Source organism: Homo sapiens, chromosome 18, assembly GCF_000001405.40.
Source record: "Homo sapiens chromosome 18, GRCh38.p14 Primary Assembly".
Classification (NCBI taxonomy): domain Eukaryota; kingdom Metazoa; phylum Chordata; class Mammalia; order Primates; family Hominidae; genus Homo; species Homo sapiens.
The window spans coordinates 73,649,887-73,666,845 of NC_000018.10; the positions used below are offsets into that span (position 1 = coordinate 73,649,887).

At 39.2% G+C, this 16,959-nt stretch overlaps 1 long non-coding RNA gene across 2 annotated transcripts in view; it reads right to left on the reverse strand.

Annotated features, from left to right (window-relative positions):
• LOC105372190 (uncharacterized) overlaps positions 1-16,959 on the reverse strand; it is a 312,925-nt gene that overhangs the window by 271,520 nt on the left and 24,446 nt on the right. The window contains exons 1-3 of one of the 2 annotated variants that reach the window (XR_007066469.1): positions 10,390-10,559; positions 5,359-5,517; positions 3,716-3,846 (exon numbers count right to left, since the gene is read on the reverse strand). This is a non-coding gene — a long non-coding RNA (uncharacterized LOC105372190). Of the gene's footprint in view, positions 1-3,715; positions 3,847-5,358; positions 5,518-10,389; positions 10,560-16,959 lie in introns of those variants that run through there. The other variant, XR_007066468.1, reaches the window with a different exon arrangement.

A 16,959-nucleotide genomic window follows, 5' to 3' on the forward strand; every position in this document is an offset into this window, starting at 1 on the left:
TTTCACCAAAAGTGTTGCAAAATAATTGACTATGTTAGCAAAAGTGTAAATCTGATAACAGCACTTCTTTTCAGGTAGAAATGCAGCAACCATATTGATTGCTTGTGTTTACATCACACGATGCTAAATTCAATACTTAGCACTCAAAGCAGGAGCATCAGATGAGAGCAAAGGGGAATATATGGGCCAAGTTGCTTTCTCTTCCATGAAAGTCTCCCTTTTAAATGAATGACAGGATGTAACCTGTGGAACCAGATGGTCTTCCATTTCACAGAATTCTGCTCACCTTCCAAGCATTAGCAAGCAGGTGACAAAACTGAGTATGATTTAAACCTTCATATTTAAGATGAAAAGAATGTCATCAGAAATATGGTGTGCAAAACATATGTGACGTAAGTTTTAGAAAATAGACACCTGATGAGCACTCATGCACATGGAATTATGTAAATATAAAAATAACTTTAAATATCCTCAGTTTAGTTTAAATAGTCATTGCAACAGTTGTTTTTTAAAATATCCCAATAGATGGGAAATGCAGAACCCTCTCTTCTTGGCAAAAGCTGATTTTGCAACAATTCTTTAAGGATAGAGTCCAGGATTTTAATTGTCTGTGTATTAGTTGGACATCTATCACTGTGAGGTCAGCAAAGGGCTTCTGGTTCTTTTAACGCACTGGCTTAATTTGGAAGGCAGTTCACATATGTTTTCTCTAAGGGGTATTACAGGTTGAGCCTACGTCTAATTACATTTACCAATGGAATTCAGTACTTTATTACAGTCAATATTTTATATTAAGAATAATATTTTTAATCATAAAAGTATTCTAAAGCATATTCATTCATCAAATCACGATTGAGCAACTTCCCTATTGGGCACTGTTTGATGATGATGGTATGTAAAGATGAATAAAATGTGGCCACCTGCCCTCAAGAAGCTTAGAATTTAGTGGTAAAAACAGAAACAGAGCGAGTGATACCACTGCTGTGGTGGAGTCCAAGGGTCATAGAGCTCAGAAATGAGAACTGTTCATATGAAGAATTAGGGGGCATGTGTCTGCACATACAGAAGTTCCTCTTTGTCTGTGGGGGGATACGTTCCAAGACCCCCAGAGGATGCCTGAAACCACAGATAATATATCCAATATATACTGTGTTTTTTCCTGTACATATGTACCTATGGTCAAGTTTAATTTATTAAAGTAGACAAAGTAAGAGATTAACAACAATAACAATAAAATAGAATAATTATAGCAATATGTTGTAGAAAGAAAAACGTTATGTGAATGTGGTCTTCTCTCCCTCTCTCTCTCAATATGTTGCTGCACTGTACTCACTTATTTTTGGATGACAATTGACTGGGTAACTGAAACCACGGAAAGCTAAACGGCAGATAAGGGGAGACTATCCCCAAGAATTTCATCAGTTAAAGGACGGAAGTACGGGTTGGCACCCCAAGAAAAGGAGGTAGTTTCAAGTGGAGGTATTTGGGGGTTGAGTAGCTTCGGCATCGTTCTAGCAGAAAGTAAATTAAAAGAGAGATACTGTAGCAGAAGAGGAAGGGCAGTGAGTACTGGATTTCCCAGAAGAGAGAGGGAGCAGAGGCCAAGGGGAACGCCTGAGGATACAAAGACTCATGCAGACACAGACAGGTGTGGGGATGGAGAGCAGGGCAGCTGCCGGAGTTTTACGCCACAGGCAAAAGACGAAAGCGGAGGTGGGAACGCTGTCCTAGGAAGGGGAAACAGATCCGGAGTGGGAGACAAGAAGAAAAGATGAAGGTGCAAAACAGTGACTTTCGGGAGTGGGTGAAAAAGGTCCCTGTGATGTGATGCAGGTCAGCAGCCCTGAGAGCTGACCTCATCTTGGAGAGCAAAGGAGAGAAAGTGACTGCTCATGTAAAAGCATCAGTTATGTCCCTTACAGCCTATCCAATGGACTTGCTTTATTCATTTCTTATTTGTCAGTAGTACTCAGCATTTTTGACTACCCCTGCTCTCTTGAAAGACTTCTTTCTTCCATGAAACCACATTCTCTTACCTAATTGCTCACTTCTCAGTCTGTCACTCCACTGTCCAATCTCTGAAATGTTAATGCTCCTTAAAGCCCGCCACTGAATGCTTTCTAAATCCACTCTTGTCCTGTGAGCTTTCATCCACTCCAGTAGCTTCCCGTTCCACCCAAACACAGATAACGCCCAAATGGGCAGCTCCTGGCGAACTCTGCTCCCAGTTATCCAACTAGCTACTTGATATCTCCCTTCGTGAATGTCTCACAGGAGTCTCAGATAAAGCACGTGCCCTTTCAGGTGTTTTTCTTAACATCTGATTCTCTGCCAATCGTCTGTATCTCGTTAAATTTTAATTTCATCAAACCTGTTGCTCATGGTAAAAACCTTGTAATTACCATTGGTTTGTTCTAATCCTTTTCTTCCTATATCCAAACTAGGTGATTATCAACTAAAATTCCAAAACGCATTATTACCCCTCCTTTTTTTTCTATGTCCACAGCTGTCACCCTATTCCACTTGGAATTCTATGGAAGCTGTAATTTCCTGCAAGGGCTTTCTGAATTCCCCTCCTGACTTTCCTCATTTTAATTGAATTATACCTCTCCTCCGCTAGGGAAAATAGCCTTTACGTATAAGACCCCAGACCCTTAACTTGGCCTGCAACATCCTGTGAGACTCCAGCACCACTGCCTCAGGATCATCTCACAAAAACAGCCATGTCCTTACCTATTCTTTGGCCACATCAGTCTTTTAAGTTCTTCAAAGGTGCCATATCATTTGTCTCTTCAGAGCCTTGCACTTTTGATCCTTCTGTGGGGAACACTCTTCCCTCTACCTGCCTGGCTCTCTCCTATGTATACTGCAGTTCCCAGCTCATGTTTTCTTCCTAATGTGTATCTTTCCTAATATAAATTGTATATATGAAATCTTTCCTCTATGCTTGCTCTTACTATCTCTCATTTGTGTGATTTTATGTTTGTTTCCTCAACTAGGTTGTCAGGAATGCATCTGTTCTGCCTACTGTGGGAGCTCCAGTCCTGACACACAATTCCTGGCACGTGGTGGGTGCCCAGGAATATGTTAAAGAGGAAGAAAAGAAGTAGAGAGAGAGGAGGAGGAAAAAGCAGAGACGGGAAGAAAAACATCCGTAAATATTTTAGGGAAGATACGAAGCTTGGCTTCAATCAACTATGCAAAGCAAAACTAAACAAACAACAACAACAAACAAAGAAACAAACAAAACCAGAGCCTATTCCAAGGTGAGGGTCTAGGAACCCTACATGAATCAAAGCTACAGAGAGGTTAACATAAGCAAAAGGAAAAATAAAAAATAAGGGGCTACACAAAGACAAGAAGTAATTTCCCACATAAATTAGAGGTCTTTCATTACTCATTAGACCTGATTATTCCACGGTCTTTCAGAATACCAGGGAAACATAGTGACACAGCAACCACAAATGAGAGTGTCGGGCTAATAATAACATGCATTATTGTATTTCTTCTGGTTTATAAGAAGCTAGGAAATATGATTTTGTTATGGTTCACTGGGGAGATATTACTAAGTCACCACCAGTTGGCATGGTGTGATTATAGAGACAGAACATGTCTGTTCATGACAAGTGAAGTGTGTGACCCAGGAAAACATTAGAATTTATTGGATTAGGACATTTCAGATGCTTTGAGTTGTCTGAGCCAGGGCTAAACCTACCTCCAGATTGATAGTTACATCCTGCGATCCATAATAAACCCAGACACCATCACCTCTTGGGATGAGGCTCCAGGTTTACCAGTCTTCTGATCTGATAGGTCATTAGAGATGCAATTCAAAAAACTTCTGGTCTAAAGACAGGAGGAAGAAAGAAAAAACAAGTGCATGTGAGTAAGGCTAATTAAAGGATTTAAACATGTGGAATTTTTCTTTCACCATGAAAACAATTAAAAAGCAAAATTGGACCCAGTGCGGATAAAAAGAGTTAACTGTACTTAGCTTAACATTTACATTTCTCAAAAGATAAAATGTGAGATTCCTCACTTGATCCTTCTGTTTTTTCCATCACATGGACTGTGTTCTCTGACGTGATTTCATGCCTTATTGACTCTCCCAGGGGAGAGCTTCCACCCAGAGTGAGAGCTGTGGAGAAGGGGCTGTCACTCTCCATCATAGCATTTAGCTATTAATACAGACACATCTACATTTTCTCCCATTTAAAGAGAGTCTGAAAATCAGGTAAAGGCTGACATTTCAAGAAGATGTGTTATCCAAAATAAAAATCTGATTCTCTCAGACTCACATTATTAGATCGGGTTGGTGACGGCCATTCCTGTTATCATGATTGAGGGAAATACTCAGGTGGAATTTGGCAATATTTCATGAAATTTCTTCCCAGATTAGGAAGTTTTGGAAATGGAGGCTCCTGTTATTTTAAATAGGAAATATCTTCACATCCAAAAAATAAAACAGAAAAATGGAGACTTTGACTTTGACATTTGGAATCAAGCTTATCTCCACATTTACGCCACAGTTTATACCCATTGGCATATCACTGCACACATTTCTCTGCATTTTTACCTTTAGAAAGCATTTTAAAAGCCTAATCTTGCAATCTTGGACTGCCTGACACGGGACTTCTTAGGTCAGATGATGTATTAGTCTGTTCTCAAGCTGCTAATAAAGACATATCCAAGACTGGGTAATTTATAAAGGAAAGAGGTTTAATTGACTCACAGTTCAGCATGGCTGGGGAGGCCTTAGGAAACTTACAATCATTGTGGAAGGGGAAGCAAACACATCCCCCTTCACATGGCGGCAGCAAGGAGAAGTGCAGAGCAAAAGGAGGAAAAGTGTCTTATAAAACCATCAGATCTTATGAGAACTCACTATCATGATAACAGGATGGGGGAAACCTCCCCCATGATTCAATTATCTCCAACTGATCCCGCCCAGGACATGTGGGGATTACGGGAACTACAATTCAAGATGAGATTTAGGTGGGGACACAGCCAAACCATATCAGATGATACACAAACCTTTATTTGATTAAGGGGCTTGTATTAGGGTCTAATCAGGAAAACAGAATTCGTTGTTCCTGTTTCAACAAAGACAACATAACATAGAAAAGGGAATTTGATGCATAAAGATGATGATATGGTGCACAGATGAACAACATGAGGTTGCTCCCACTCTGAAGGCTACAGAGAGAAGGGAAGAGTCAGGCAGTGCCGCTGGACCCCCAGAGAGAAGGGAGAAGCAGGACAGGTCTCTCCAAGGGGGGAGATGGGGCTACAGAGGACATTCGGGCCACAGTCGAATTGCCACCTGACACAGAGGGACAGGGAAAATCATCCTCTCACCTCCAATGCTCTCACTGGAAGAAATCCGCCAAAACCAGCCCAGAAAGAGCAGGAAGGAGTGAGTTCCTGATCGGCACAATACAGAGTGGGCATATTTCATTGACAAAAGGCACATTGACCAAATATGTACAGCACCTCCATACTGGTCACAATGTGGTTCTGAAATATTTATACACAAAATGTTAGAAATAATTATATCTGTAGCTATAGTGCAAAATTTTAATAAACATTTCTCAAAAATCGGCATAGCAACCAGAGTAAGAGAAGGAAAAACATAAAGGCTTGAGTAACCTACTTTGTTTTAACAAATATATTCACAAAACTGTACATGCTAAACTGAATATCCCAAGTAGTCAATTATTCATGATCTATGTAAGCAAATTCAACATTTATTAAGCCATGAAAGAATTACTAAATTTCAAACAGTAGTAATCAAATCAATCACATTCACAGGTTATGATCTCCATGGAGAGTATAAAGAGAAGTTTGAAAACACCTTTTGAACTAATTCTTGAATTTTTAAAAAGTGAAAATTATAGTCTATTCAGGATTAAATAAAAATGATAGAATTCGGCTGGGTGCTGTGGCTCACGCCTGTAATCCCAGCACTTTGAGAGGCCAAGGCAGGCAGATTATCTGAGGTCAGGAGTTCAAGACCAGCCTGGCCAATATTGCGAAACCCCATCTCTACTAAAAAATACAAAAATCAGCCGGGCATGGTGGTGGGTGCCTGTAATCCCAGCTATTTGGGAGGCTGAGGCAGGGAGAATTGCTGGAACCCGGGAGGTAAAGGTTGGAGTGAGCCAAGATAGAACCACTGCACTCCAGCCTGGGTGACAGAGCAAGACTCTGTCTCACAAAAACAAAAACAAAAACAAAAAATCACAGAGAATTCAAGTTATGAGCTCATAGAAGAAAATATAAGAAAATATTTACAACCTCAGGTACTAACATTGATAACATCAAATTCCTGTAATAGAAAACAGGAAATGCTGCAAATAAAATTACTGGTCATTCATTTCTAGATGTATTTCATAAAAGACACAAAAATAATCAATTATAAAAAGTAACATAGAGTCAAAGAAGATTTCAGTATAAAGTAATAAAATTTTAAAAAACAGCAGTATTGATCAAAAACTCATCTTTGAAACAAGAATAAACACTCATTAATTCTGATTAGAGAAAGTGAGAGAATGTATGAATAAATATTATAATAGTGAAACAAAGCCAGAACTAAAGATGCAAGAAACTTTCTCAAAGGAATAAAAAAGTTTTTATTACAAAATAAAAAAAAAATCAAATCAATGGTTCCTTAGAAGAGTATATATTACAATTACCTTATATTTATATTTCTTACAAATTGAAAACTTAATTTTCAATTTTTACAAGTTTCCCTTGAAAACTTGATAAATGCAACTTTTTTCCCCTGGTAAATTCTACCAAACCTTTAAGGAGTAAATATTTCCTATATTATTTGAATTACTCTAAAACATATTGTCTTAGTTCACTAGGGCTGTCATAGCAAAATACCATAGACTGAGTGAGTTATACAACAGAAATTTACTTCTCAGTTTTATAAGCTGGGAAGTCTGAGATCAAAGTTCTAGCTGATGTGGTTTCTGGTGAGAGCTATCTTTCTGGCCTATAGATGGTCACCTACTTGTCCTCACATGACCTTTTCTCAATGGTCAACTGCAGAGAGAGACAGAGAGAACTGCTGTCTGGTCTCTCTTCATTTAAGGTTGCCAGTCTGCTTGGATCACAGCCCCACCCTTATGACCTGATTAAACCTAATTACTTTCAAATACAGGCATACTGGGGATTAGGGTTTCAACAAGTAAATGTGTGGAGCAGGGTGACAGGACAAATATTCAGTCCATGCATGCTTAAAAAGAACAGCACATTTTTTCAACTCATTCTATAAAAAATCTAACTTAGAAACATAAATGCAAAAATTATTCAATTAAATATTAGCAAATTAACTCCAGTATTACAATAAAAGATTAATGCAAGTAGGATTTATCTCAGGAATAAAAGAATTGTTCAATATTAAGAAATGTGCAACTATAGACTGTGATAAAATGATGCTTTACATTTTCCCAAAATAGAAAGCTTCTTAATCCTTATACAGTAACAGATACGTGTTTGTAGATACATGAGAGAAATAAAGGCTTTTCTTGACTGCTGAATACCGCATGCCTTTGAGTCTGCGCAGCTGTTTAAGGTGAGTGTCTTCGGTACTTGCTTTACTGTAAGGCTTTTGGGCCTTCGGTAGAGACATTTCATTTCTGCTGACATTACCTGTGGGTAAATACTTTCATCTGTTATCAGCACTTGGCTGCTATTGTTCCTCTTAAATGCTTAAATTGCACTTATTACGTATAGGTGATGAATTTAGTAGCTTGGCATATTAGTTATAAAGCAAGAAGCTGTAATTTCTAATAAAAGAAGTCAAAGGCCAACTAATTGCAGAATAAATAACCTAGCAACAACTAAATTTATAGGGAATTTAATTGAGATTTCAAATTAAAATGGAACGTAATATTAAATAGAAAGTGTCACTTTCAAGGTGATTGGAATTTTCCCTATATACAAAATATATTTTTCTATTAAAGATCAAGAATATTTATTTATTCTTTATCTCTGCAGGCGAGTCCCCAGTCCAGGCATTAGCCAGCTTCAGCCTGGATTACTTCAGGATCTTCCATACTACAAATCTACCACTCACTCATGCTTTTTATCACTGCGAAATGCTGCCTGCTTATTTTTTCTTTTGGGTATGTCATTCATTTTAAATCAATGACACTTTTCCTTGGGAAATCTTTTCTAAATCTACTTAGCACTTTTTCTTCACACAAACATTATTTTTCCAAAAATGGAATAATAACTTTAGTCTACAAAAAAAAATTAGTTTTTCTTCATTTTTCTCCTTTTCATCCAAAATAAAATGATTTTGGAAAACTAGAGATATCAAATGGAGAAACAATGTGTCAGTTATTTGCACAAGTCACAAAAGAATTGTGTATTTTGTTTAAAACAATTCAAAGAAAATCAACTTAAAGTTAAGCTGACCTGTGAACCAATGATGGAAAGAGGCTTGGTAAAACTATTATCTCAATGATAGTGTACAATGAGGAGAGAGCCATTTAGAAACCTCATGTTAGAGGAAATATTAAATATAAATGGGATTCGACAGATTCATCCACACAACAGATCCTTATTAAGAGCTATGTTTTTGACACAGTGTTCTAGGAACATCAGGCAGAACACTGAACAAGACAGACATAAATTTTGTTCTTGTGAAGAGGACAGTATACTAGGGGAAGAACAACATTTCACAAATTATTACAGGTAAATGGAGTATTTAAATAAAAATGTCATTGTTAGTAGGGGCAGCATATTATAGACAGACCTAATATTGTTGAAGAGTTCAAAGCATCTCAGCTTTGCAACCTAACCTGTAGGATTTGGGGTGAATCATTTATATTTCCTGATGTTTATTTCCTTATCCATAATTGAGATGAATATCTTACAGTGTTCTGATGACATTTAAATGACATTACAATGTCAAATCACCTAACAGTACCTGATATGTGGTAATATTAATAGCTAAAATTTGCTAAGTGAGCACTGTATACCTAGCAAAATTTTATGTATCCAATATCAAGTTCTCAAACAACCTATGGGTTTAGGTTATGCTATTCTTTTTTCCCTTCCTCACAATTTATGAAGGAATAAACTGAGACACAGAGAGTTAAGTGGTTTTCCCAAATTCTCAGATGTAGTAGGCGGAGGGTCGAGGGTAGGCAGTCTGATTCCGAATCTAAGCTCAGAATCCTAATCTGTGTTGCAATAGCCCCAACTTTACCCAGGGAGCAGGAGAAGCTAAGCCTCACTCAAGGTCAACGTGAAGTCCTCAGTGGGAACCCAGGTGTCTGGTATCAAAACAGCACATTAATTTAGTTGCTTGTCCTAAAAAGATGCTCTGATACTGTATTGAACTTTAAAGTCTCTGATCCCTTAATGACTGTAAGTTGAGACAATCAGTTTATGAGTTTATCTGTCTGATTTGTTTTTGGAGGTGACTACTTCCTTGTTGATTGTCGTTATTGTAGTTCTAACTGTGAAAACAAGCATCTGTTTATGTTGTCGACATCTTTTAGTTCTGGGAGTGACGCTGGAGACATTGTTGAAATAACACAAAGGTAAATATTTCAGACCCAGGTGTTGTTTGTACCATCTGGAGAGGGTTATCCCCACCAGTCCTTCACTTGTGAACAAGGGAAGAAAACCTGGCAACCTCCTTGCTTAGGAACATATGTTTTGGCCAGAGGATGTGAAAAGTTTAATGAGCAGAGAGAGAGCTTCTACGTGGGCATCCTCTTACGGCAGAAGTGTTTGGACCCACAGAATTTGGACCAGGTTCTGAACACAGAGCAAAGGAACCAGGGGCCCTCGCTGCAGTGATGGAAAGGGTCTCTCTCTGTGCTGTCGAATACGGCAGCCACTCATGAGATGTGGCTGTTGAGCACCTGAAATATGGCCATAGTGATTAAGGAACTGATTTTTACAATTTGATTTAATTGCATGACTTTAAATAGAACATGTGGCAAATGCTATCCATACTAGACAGCACAGGTCTAGACAGCAGTTCCCATAATTTCAAACTTTTATGTGCTGGGGGATAAGAAAAAGGGATTGGGGAAGGACTCCCCAGCCCTGAGAACTGGCCCGGTATCTGGCCTGTTGGGTGATAGCAAGGCCAGAGGTTCTTAGGCACGCTCAGTTCATCGCTTCCTTCCTGTTTGAGTTTGTTTGTTTGTTTGTTTTTGTTTTTTGTTTGTTTCTCATAGTGCTCCAGAAGCTGAAAGAAGCACATAACCACTCCACATGTTAAGTAGTCAGGTCCAAACAATGTGATGGTTTTAACGGAATTCTCAGCAAGACATTGCTGATCTTGCCCCCAAAATTTAAATTATGCCAAGGTGGTCTTGAGAATGTACTTTGGAGCCCAGAGATGCCTCTACACACCGTTTCGGAACCGTGAAGCCAGGCCATGGGTCTTCCTACTGAACACGAGCAATTTCACAGAATGTCAGCATCAGACAGGTCACTCCATGACTGTTGGAACAAAAATAAAACCTGGATACCAAGCTCCCACTGAGTAACCAAACATTTCTCCTTCCTGGCCAGTGTGAGCACTACCATTGATGACACCTCAAGACCTACTTCAGTGCTCCTTCCTCCTAAGTAAAAAGTGTTTAGAAAATTGTCATCAGCCGTGCTTTCTGGCAGCACCCAATTCCAAATTAAACCTCATTTCCTTAGAGTCTCCATTCCTTAATGTCTTATTTTCACCCCAAATCAGAAGCCCAAACTGTATACAAGCCCACCCTAACACTCCCTTACTGAGACATCCCATGATTGTCTATGGCATGCAAGTTAATACACCTACATTTGTTTGACTACAGGTAAAACATAGTTGTGTTCCTGATGGTTTGTGGACACTGGGATTTATCGGGATGGACTGTAAAACTTCACATAGAATGACAGTTTATGCAAGAATCATGTTGTGTTTTACCAAAGGGATGATGGTTCCCTTTGTAACTTCACTTTTAGAGAGCTCTATCTGTCCCCGTGTAAACCAAGAACCATTGCTTCAGTCTTTTGCAACAGTCTAGTATAACAGTAGATTGAAAAAAAAAAGTTCACCTCTTTTATGTTTTCTGAAATAACAAACACTTTCTTAAATAAAATCATTGTTCAATTACCTCCTCCAGTCAGTTATTCTAAAAGTCTGTACATACAAACAGATGATGGCCAGATCACATACAAAAACAGAATCTAACCCACGATCTGCAGCAACTGTACTAGGGAAACTACTCATTTCCTAGAGGAACCAACCCAGGAAGCCAGCCTACTACCTGTCAGTCAGGCCACACTAGCAACTTATCCAGGAAGCCAAATAAGACCCCCTGTAACATGGCCCCAAATGGCCATGACTTGATTAATAACTGACAGGTTCCCTAATTTTTGACCCTATTTTTAATGTAGGACCCACCAGGAAAAGTCAGATACGTACTTTTAACCAATCACATAGGATTCCCCACCTCTACTCAGCCCACCAACAGCTTCCCCAGGCCAACAGCCTCCAATCACAGCACACCTGAAGCCTTCCCTGATTTCTGCTGTAAAACTTTCCACTCTTCTGCCTGCCTTTGAGTCTCTGCCAAAGCATAAATGATGGCGCTGACTCCCTTGCTATAGCAAACTCTGAATAAATAGCCTTTGTCCATGCTCGTTTGGTTGCTCTTGGTTTATTTCCACAACTATATTTAAAATCCTACTGCATATTTCTAAACTACCCTCAAGGAAGTTTGCACCAATTTATATACCCATTAATGTGCTTGAGATTTCTGTTTCCTCAAAGCCTCACTAAATCTTAGGTAATATCAATCTTTTTAATCTGGCTGATCTGTTAATAGGCAATGGCTCATGCTTTTATGTACATTTATTTGATTGCACAGATGTAAATCATCTATTCTTGTATTTGGCCTATTTTATGGGAAGGCAAGAACGTTCAGTCCACCTTCTAACTCTATAATTACTATCTATAATTTCTACTGAATTCTTACCTATAATTTTCTACTGTATGTCCCAGAAGAAATTCTGCTGAGAGTTTTACTTCTTAAGAGTTATACCTAGAGCAGGAAATTCCCATCAAGAAAATGTGTAATGCTAGACCTAGGAAGTGGAAACCATGTCCATAAAAGAGATCTGAGTTGCAATCCTATGGAGCGTGTGAATGCCAAATCTGGATAGATCCAATGAACATCTTGGAACTGTAAGCAATGAAACAGGAATTCAGAGAAAGGAGACAGGATGGAACAAATGCAAGAAGGAATTAATCAGGATTGGCTGGGTATGGCAGATTGTTAAGCAGTGCTTTGAATGATGTTTAAGTCTTGCTTCTTATCTTTATGGGCTACAGGACATCACTGCATGGTAAAGTGGGCAATTCTGAGTTTCAGTAACTTAAGTCTAATGCACATATGAGCTCCAATATGCACAGGTATCTATGTAGAATCAGGTACTAAGAGTGCTTCAACACAGGACATGATGGAGAGTACAAAGAGGTTTCACTTCAAATCACACACTAGAGGAGGAGATACATTTTGATTGTTTGTAAAACTATTACATTTTTAAGTTGGTTCTGATTTCACATTATGGTTTCAACTGATGAAAGGAAATTATCTTCTTGCAGATTCTGCTTATCTTTTGTGATCTGCACCGTTCTAACCTACATTCTCTGCTCGGTGTGTTTTGGAACGCTGTTTTGCACAGCTTCAGCTTGCTTACTTGCTTTGCATTCCTCTTTGAAGTGACCACAAAATCCTGCATCAAGGGTCTCTGCCAGCATCAACATTTTCTCTTCTCTGCTCTGTAGTGATGATGGACACTTTGCATGCTGGGGCTGAAGGAGGGACTGACTCCCTTCGGCAAGCCTGCTATGTCCTCTTCTCATTCCCCTTTCATTCTGCCACTGTTCTGGTAGTAGCAGTCCTCTTTAATCCTTTAAGATTGAATGGAGCTGGTCATTCCAGGACATAGTTCTAAATGCAAGGTGCCCTGGATAGGACTATTTTCCAAAGGCACAGATGTCAGAGAATTGTAGCCTTCTTTCTTTCTTTCTTTCTTTTTTTTTTTTGAGATGGAGTTTCACTCTTGTTACCCAGCCTGGAGTGCAATGGCATGATCTCAGCTCATCACAACCTCCTCCTCCCAAGTTCAAGCGATTCTCCTGCCTCAGCCTCCCGAGTAGCTGGGATTACAGGCATGCACCACCACGCCCAGCTAATTTTGTATTTTTTGTAGAGAGGGGCGTTTCTCCCTGTTGGTCAGGCTGGTCTCGAACTCCCAACCTCAGGTGATCCGCCCACCTCGGCCTCCCAAAGCGCTGGGATTACAGGTGTGAGCCACTGCACCTGGCTGAATTACAGCTTTTACTCTTATGGATTTTCCCCCAGTTTTATCATGACAGCATTTTGAATCAGTATATATTTGTGTATCTGTATTTACATTTGCGTACCTTCCCACACTGTTAGAAAAATTCACTGATCAAAGTTTTTTGGTGCCTGTATTAGCTCTGACCCTTTCAAGGGTGGATGCCCGTAAAGCACTGCAAGAGTCATCATACATAAAAATGGGATGAGTCTTGCCCTTGAAACTGTGAGTGTGATATTCGCACCACCATCATCCCCTCCTCAAAAATTTAAAGGTCAGTGGATGCTTTTGACCAGCCAAATTTTTATTTTTGGGCTTCGGAGACTTCCAGCAAACGTCTCTAAGGAACAAAGGGGAATAAACTCAAACCCTTCTTCCCAGGGGGATTCTATGCCCTGTTGTTGATGTTATTGCCAACTTGTTAATAGATGGAAGTAAACTCTCCTTAGGGACTCTGAGTTTGCATGCTTGCCAATCCAAAACCTGGACCAGCTTTTGGCACCTACCACACTCGCCTGGGGTTATGCAGCTACTAAAAGTTGAAACCACAAGCACACAATGACAAATCTTGCAACTCTAAGCTTATTTGAAGGAATAATTCCCTGTCTCTTGGGTTTTCCTCCCCTCCTCCTCTTGGAGAATACCCTCAGGCTCTTTTAATGCCATATTTTTATATGTTATGAGTATATTCAAGGTCTTCTTTCTATAGAGCCAGACCCTTTTTCACAAGTAGAAAGTTAGAGTGAAACTGTTGCCTAAAGGAAGCAAACACAACAGTAAATCTTAGATGTGTGAAATCCCAACAATGTGAAGCAGGGAAAGGAATAGATGCTGTATGTGCAGGTAACCCAGCAAAAGAAAAAAGTGGCCGGGCGCGGTGGCTCATGCCTGTAATCCCAGCACTTTGGGAGGCAGAGGCAGGCGGATCACGAGGTCAGGAGATCGAGACCACCATGGCTAAAAAGGTGAAATCCCGTCTCTACTAAAAAAAAAAAAAAAAAAATACAAAAAATTAGCCAGGCATGGTGGCGGGCACCTGTAGTCCCAGCTACTTGGGAGGCTGAGGCAGGAGAATTGTGTGAACCCAGGATGCGGAGCTTGCAGTGAGCTGAGATCACACCACTGCACTCCAGCCTGGGTGACAGAGTGAGAGTGAGCCTCCATCTTAAAAAAAAAAAAAAAGAAAAGAAAAAGAAAAAAGGAAGGTTTTTGTGTGTGTATGCATTTGTGTACCATAGATTCAAAATGATTACTTAATACCCTGTCAAGAAAGTGAATTTAACAAATCAATAAATTATGAGTAGGATTAATTAAACTGGCATCGTAATTAAGGCACAATATGTTACAGAGGCTTATGAACGCTTGAGTTTCACAGCAGACCTGTCAGTGGGATCCCGAATCATTTATTTGCTTCTTGTTCTTTCTAGACACAGGAGTCTTTTGCTTTACCATATCTAGAAGGTAGATAATTCAGTTAAGGCTGATGAGGCATTAACTGTCATTTTCATTAAGACATAACTAAATTTGGCTAATAAATCACTTTCAACATTATAATTTAAACAATGAGAACAAAAACCAATATCTGCTTATTAAGAAATATCTATATATATCTATATATATAATTCATTTGGTGATTTATGACTGAGTTCCTTAGAGAGGTTTACAAATTCATCCACTGTCCTTGAATCACAGAGTTTGCTTTTGGCTTTCTCATTTAGCTGAAAGGGACTGAAAAGCTCAACTGGCATTTAAGGGCCTAGGTGGTCACATTTTTCAACAGATTTGTAGGACAGTAAGTTATTGTACTTAAGGTCAATAGGACTTTATGCTCATCTAGAGCACTGTGAAACTGGAGATTTCAAGCTACACTGTACAGAAAAGAAGCAGCTTTGTTTGGGAAGGGATCACAAGCTGGTTTCCTATGGGGATGGAGCACTGGCTGGTTTTCCTTGGATCAGAGCTGCGTTTGATGCAGCTGTAATGAAGAATACCTGACACCTCATTTAAAGTGATCGTATATCCATACTCTGATATATATATATATGTGTGTGTGTGTGTGTGTGTGTATATATATATATGTGTGTGTATATATATATATAGTTTAAGTTCTAGGGTGCCTGTGCACAACGTGCAGGTTTGTTACATAGGTATACCTGTGCCGTGTTTGTTTGCTGCACCTATCAACTTATCATTTACATTAGGTATTTCTCCTAATGCTATCCCTCTCCCAGTCCCCAAACCCCCCCGACAAGCCCCGGTGTGTGATGTTCCCCACCCTGTGTCCAAGTATTCACATTCTTCAACTCCCACTTATGAGTGAGAACATGTGGTGTTTGGTTTTCTGTCCTTGTGATAGTTGGCTTAGAATGATGGTTTCCAGCTTCATCCATGTTCCTGCAAGGGACATGAACTCATCCTTTTTTAGGGCTGCATAGTATTCCATGGTGTATATGTGCCACATTTTCTTAATCCAGTCCATCACTGATGGACATTTGGGTTGGTTCCAAGTCTTTGCTATTGTAATTAGTGCCGCAGTAAACACACATGTGCATGTGTCTTTATAGTAGCATGATTTATGATCCTTTGGGTATATACCCAGTAATGGGATCGCTGGGTCAAATGGTATTTCTAGTTCTAGATCCCTGAGGAATCGCCACACTGTCTTCCACAATGGTTGAACATAATTGACACTCCAACCAACAGTGTAAAAGTGTTCCTATTTCTCCACATCCTCTCCAGCACCTGTTGTTTCCTGACTTTTTAATGATCACCACTCTAACTGGCGTGAGATGGTATCTCATTGTGGTTTTGATTTGCATTTCTCTGATGGCCAGTGACGGTGAACATTTTTTTCATGTGTCTGTTGGCTGAATAAATTTCTTCTTTTGAGAAGTGTCTGTTCATATTCTTTGTCCACTTTTTGATGGAGTTGTTTGTTTTTTTTCTTGTAAATTTAAGTTCTTTGTAGATTCTGGATATTAGCCCTTTGTCAGATGGGTAGATTGCAGATATTTTTTCCCATTCCATAGGTTGCCTATTCACTCTAATGATAGTTTCTTTTGCTGTGCAGAAGTTCTTTAGTTTAATTACATCCCATTTGTCTATTTTGGCTTTTGTTGCCATTGCTTTTGGTGTTTTAGTCATGAAGCCTTTGCCCGTGCCTATGTCCTAAATGGTATTGCCTAGGTTTTCTTCTAGGGTTTTCATGGTGTTAGGTTTTACATTTTGCATGTCCTAGACATGCTGAATCTATTTTATTTTTACAATTGCAATAACCATTCTTTCTATTTGCAATTTACTTTGTAGAAGTAAAGGTTCCTTGAATTTGGGAAATTTAACTTTGTTAAAATGTTCTGATGAGTTCTTAAAGAATTATATAACTATTTTTGGAAATTAATTCAAAGAACATAGTGAATAATTAAGAATGTGGTTCAAGCCAGATGTGTGGCTCACATCTGTAATCCCAATGCTTTGGGAGGCCAAGGAAGGAGGATCATTTGAGGCCATGAGTTAGAGACCAAACTGGGCAAATAGCAAGACTCTCTCTCTACAAAAAATTCAAAAATAAATATCAGTCTCAGCTACTCAGAGGGCTGA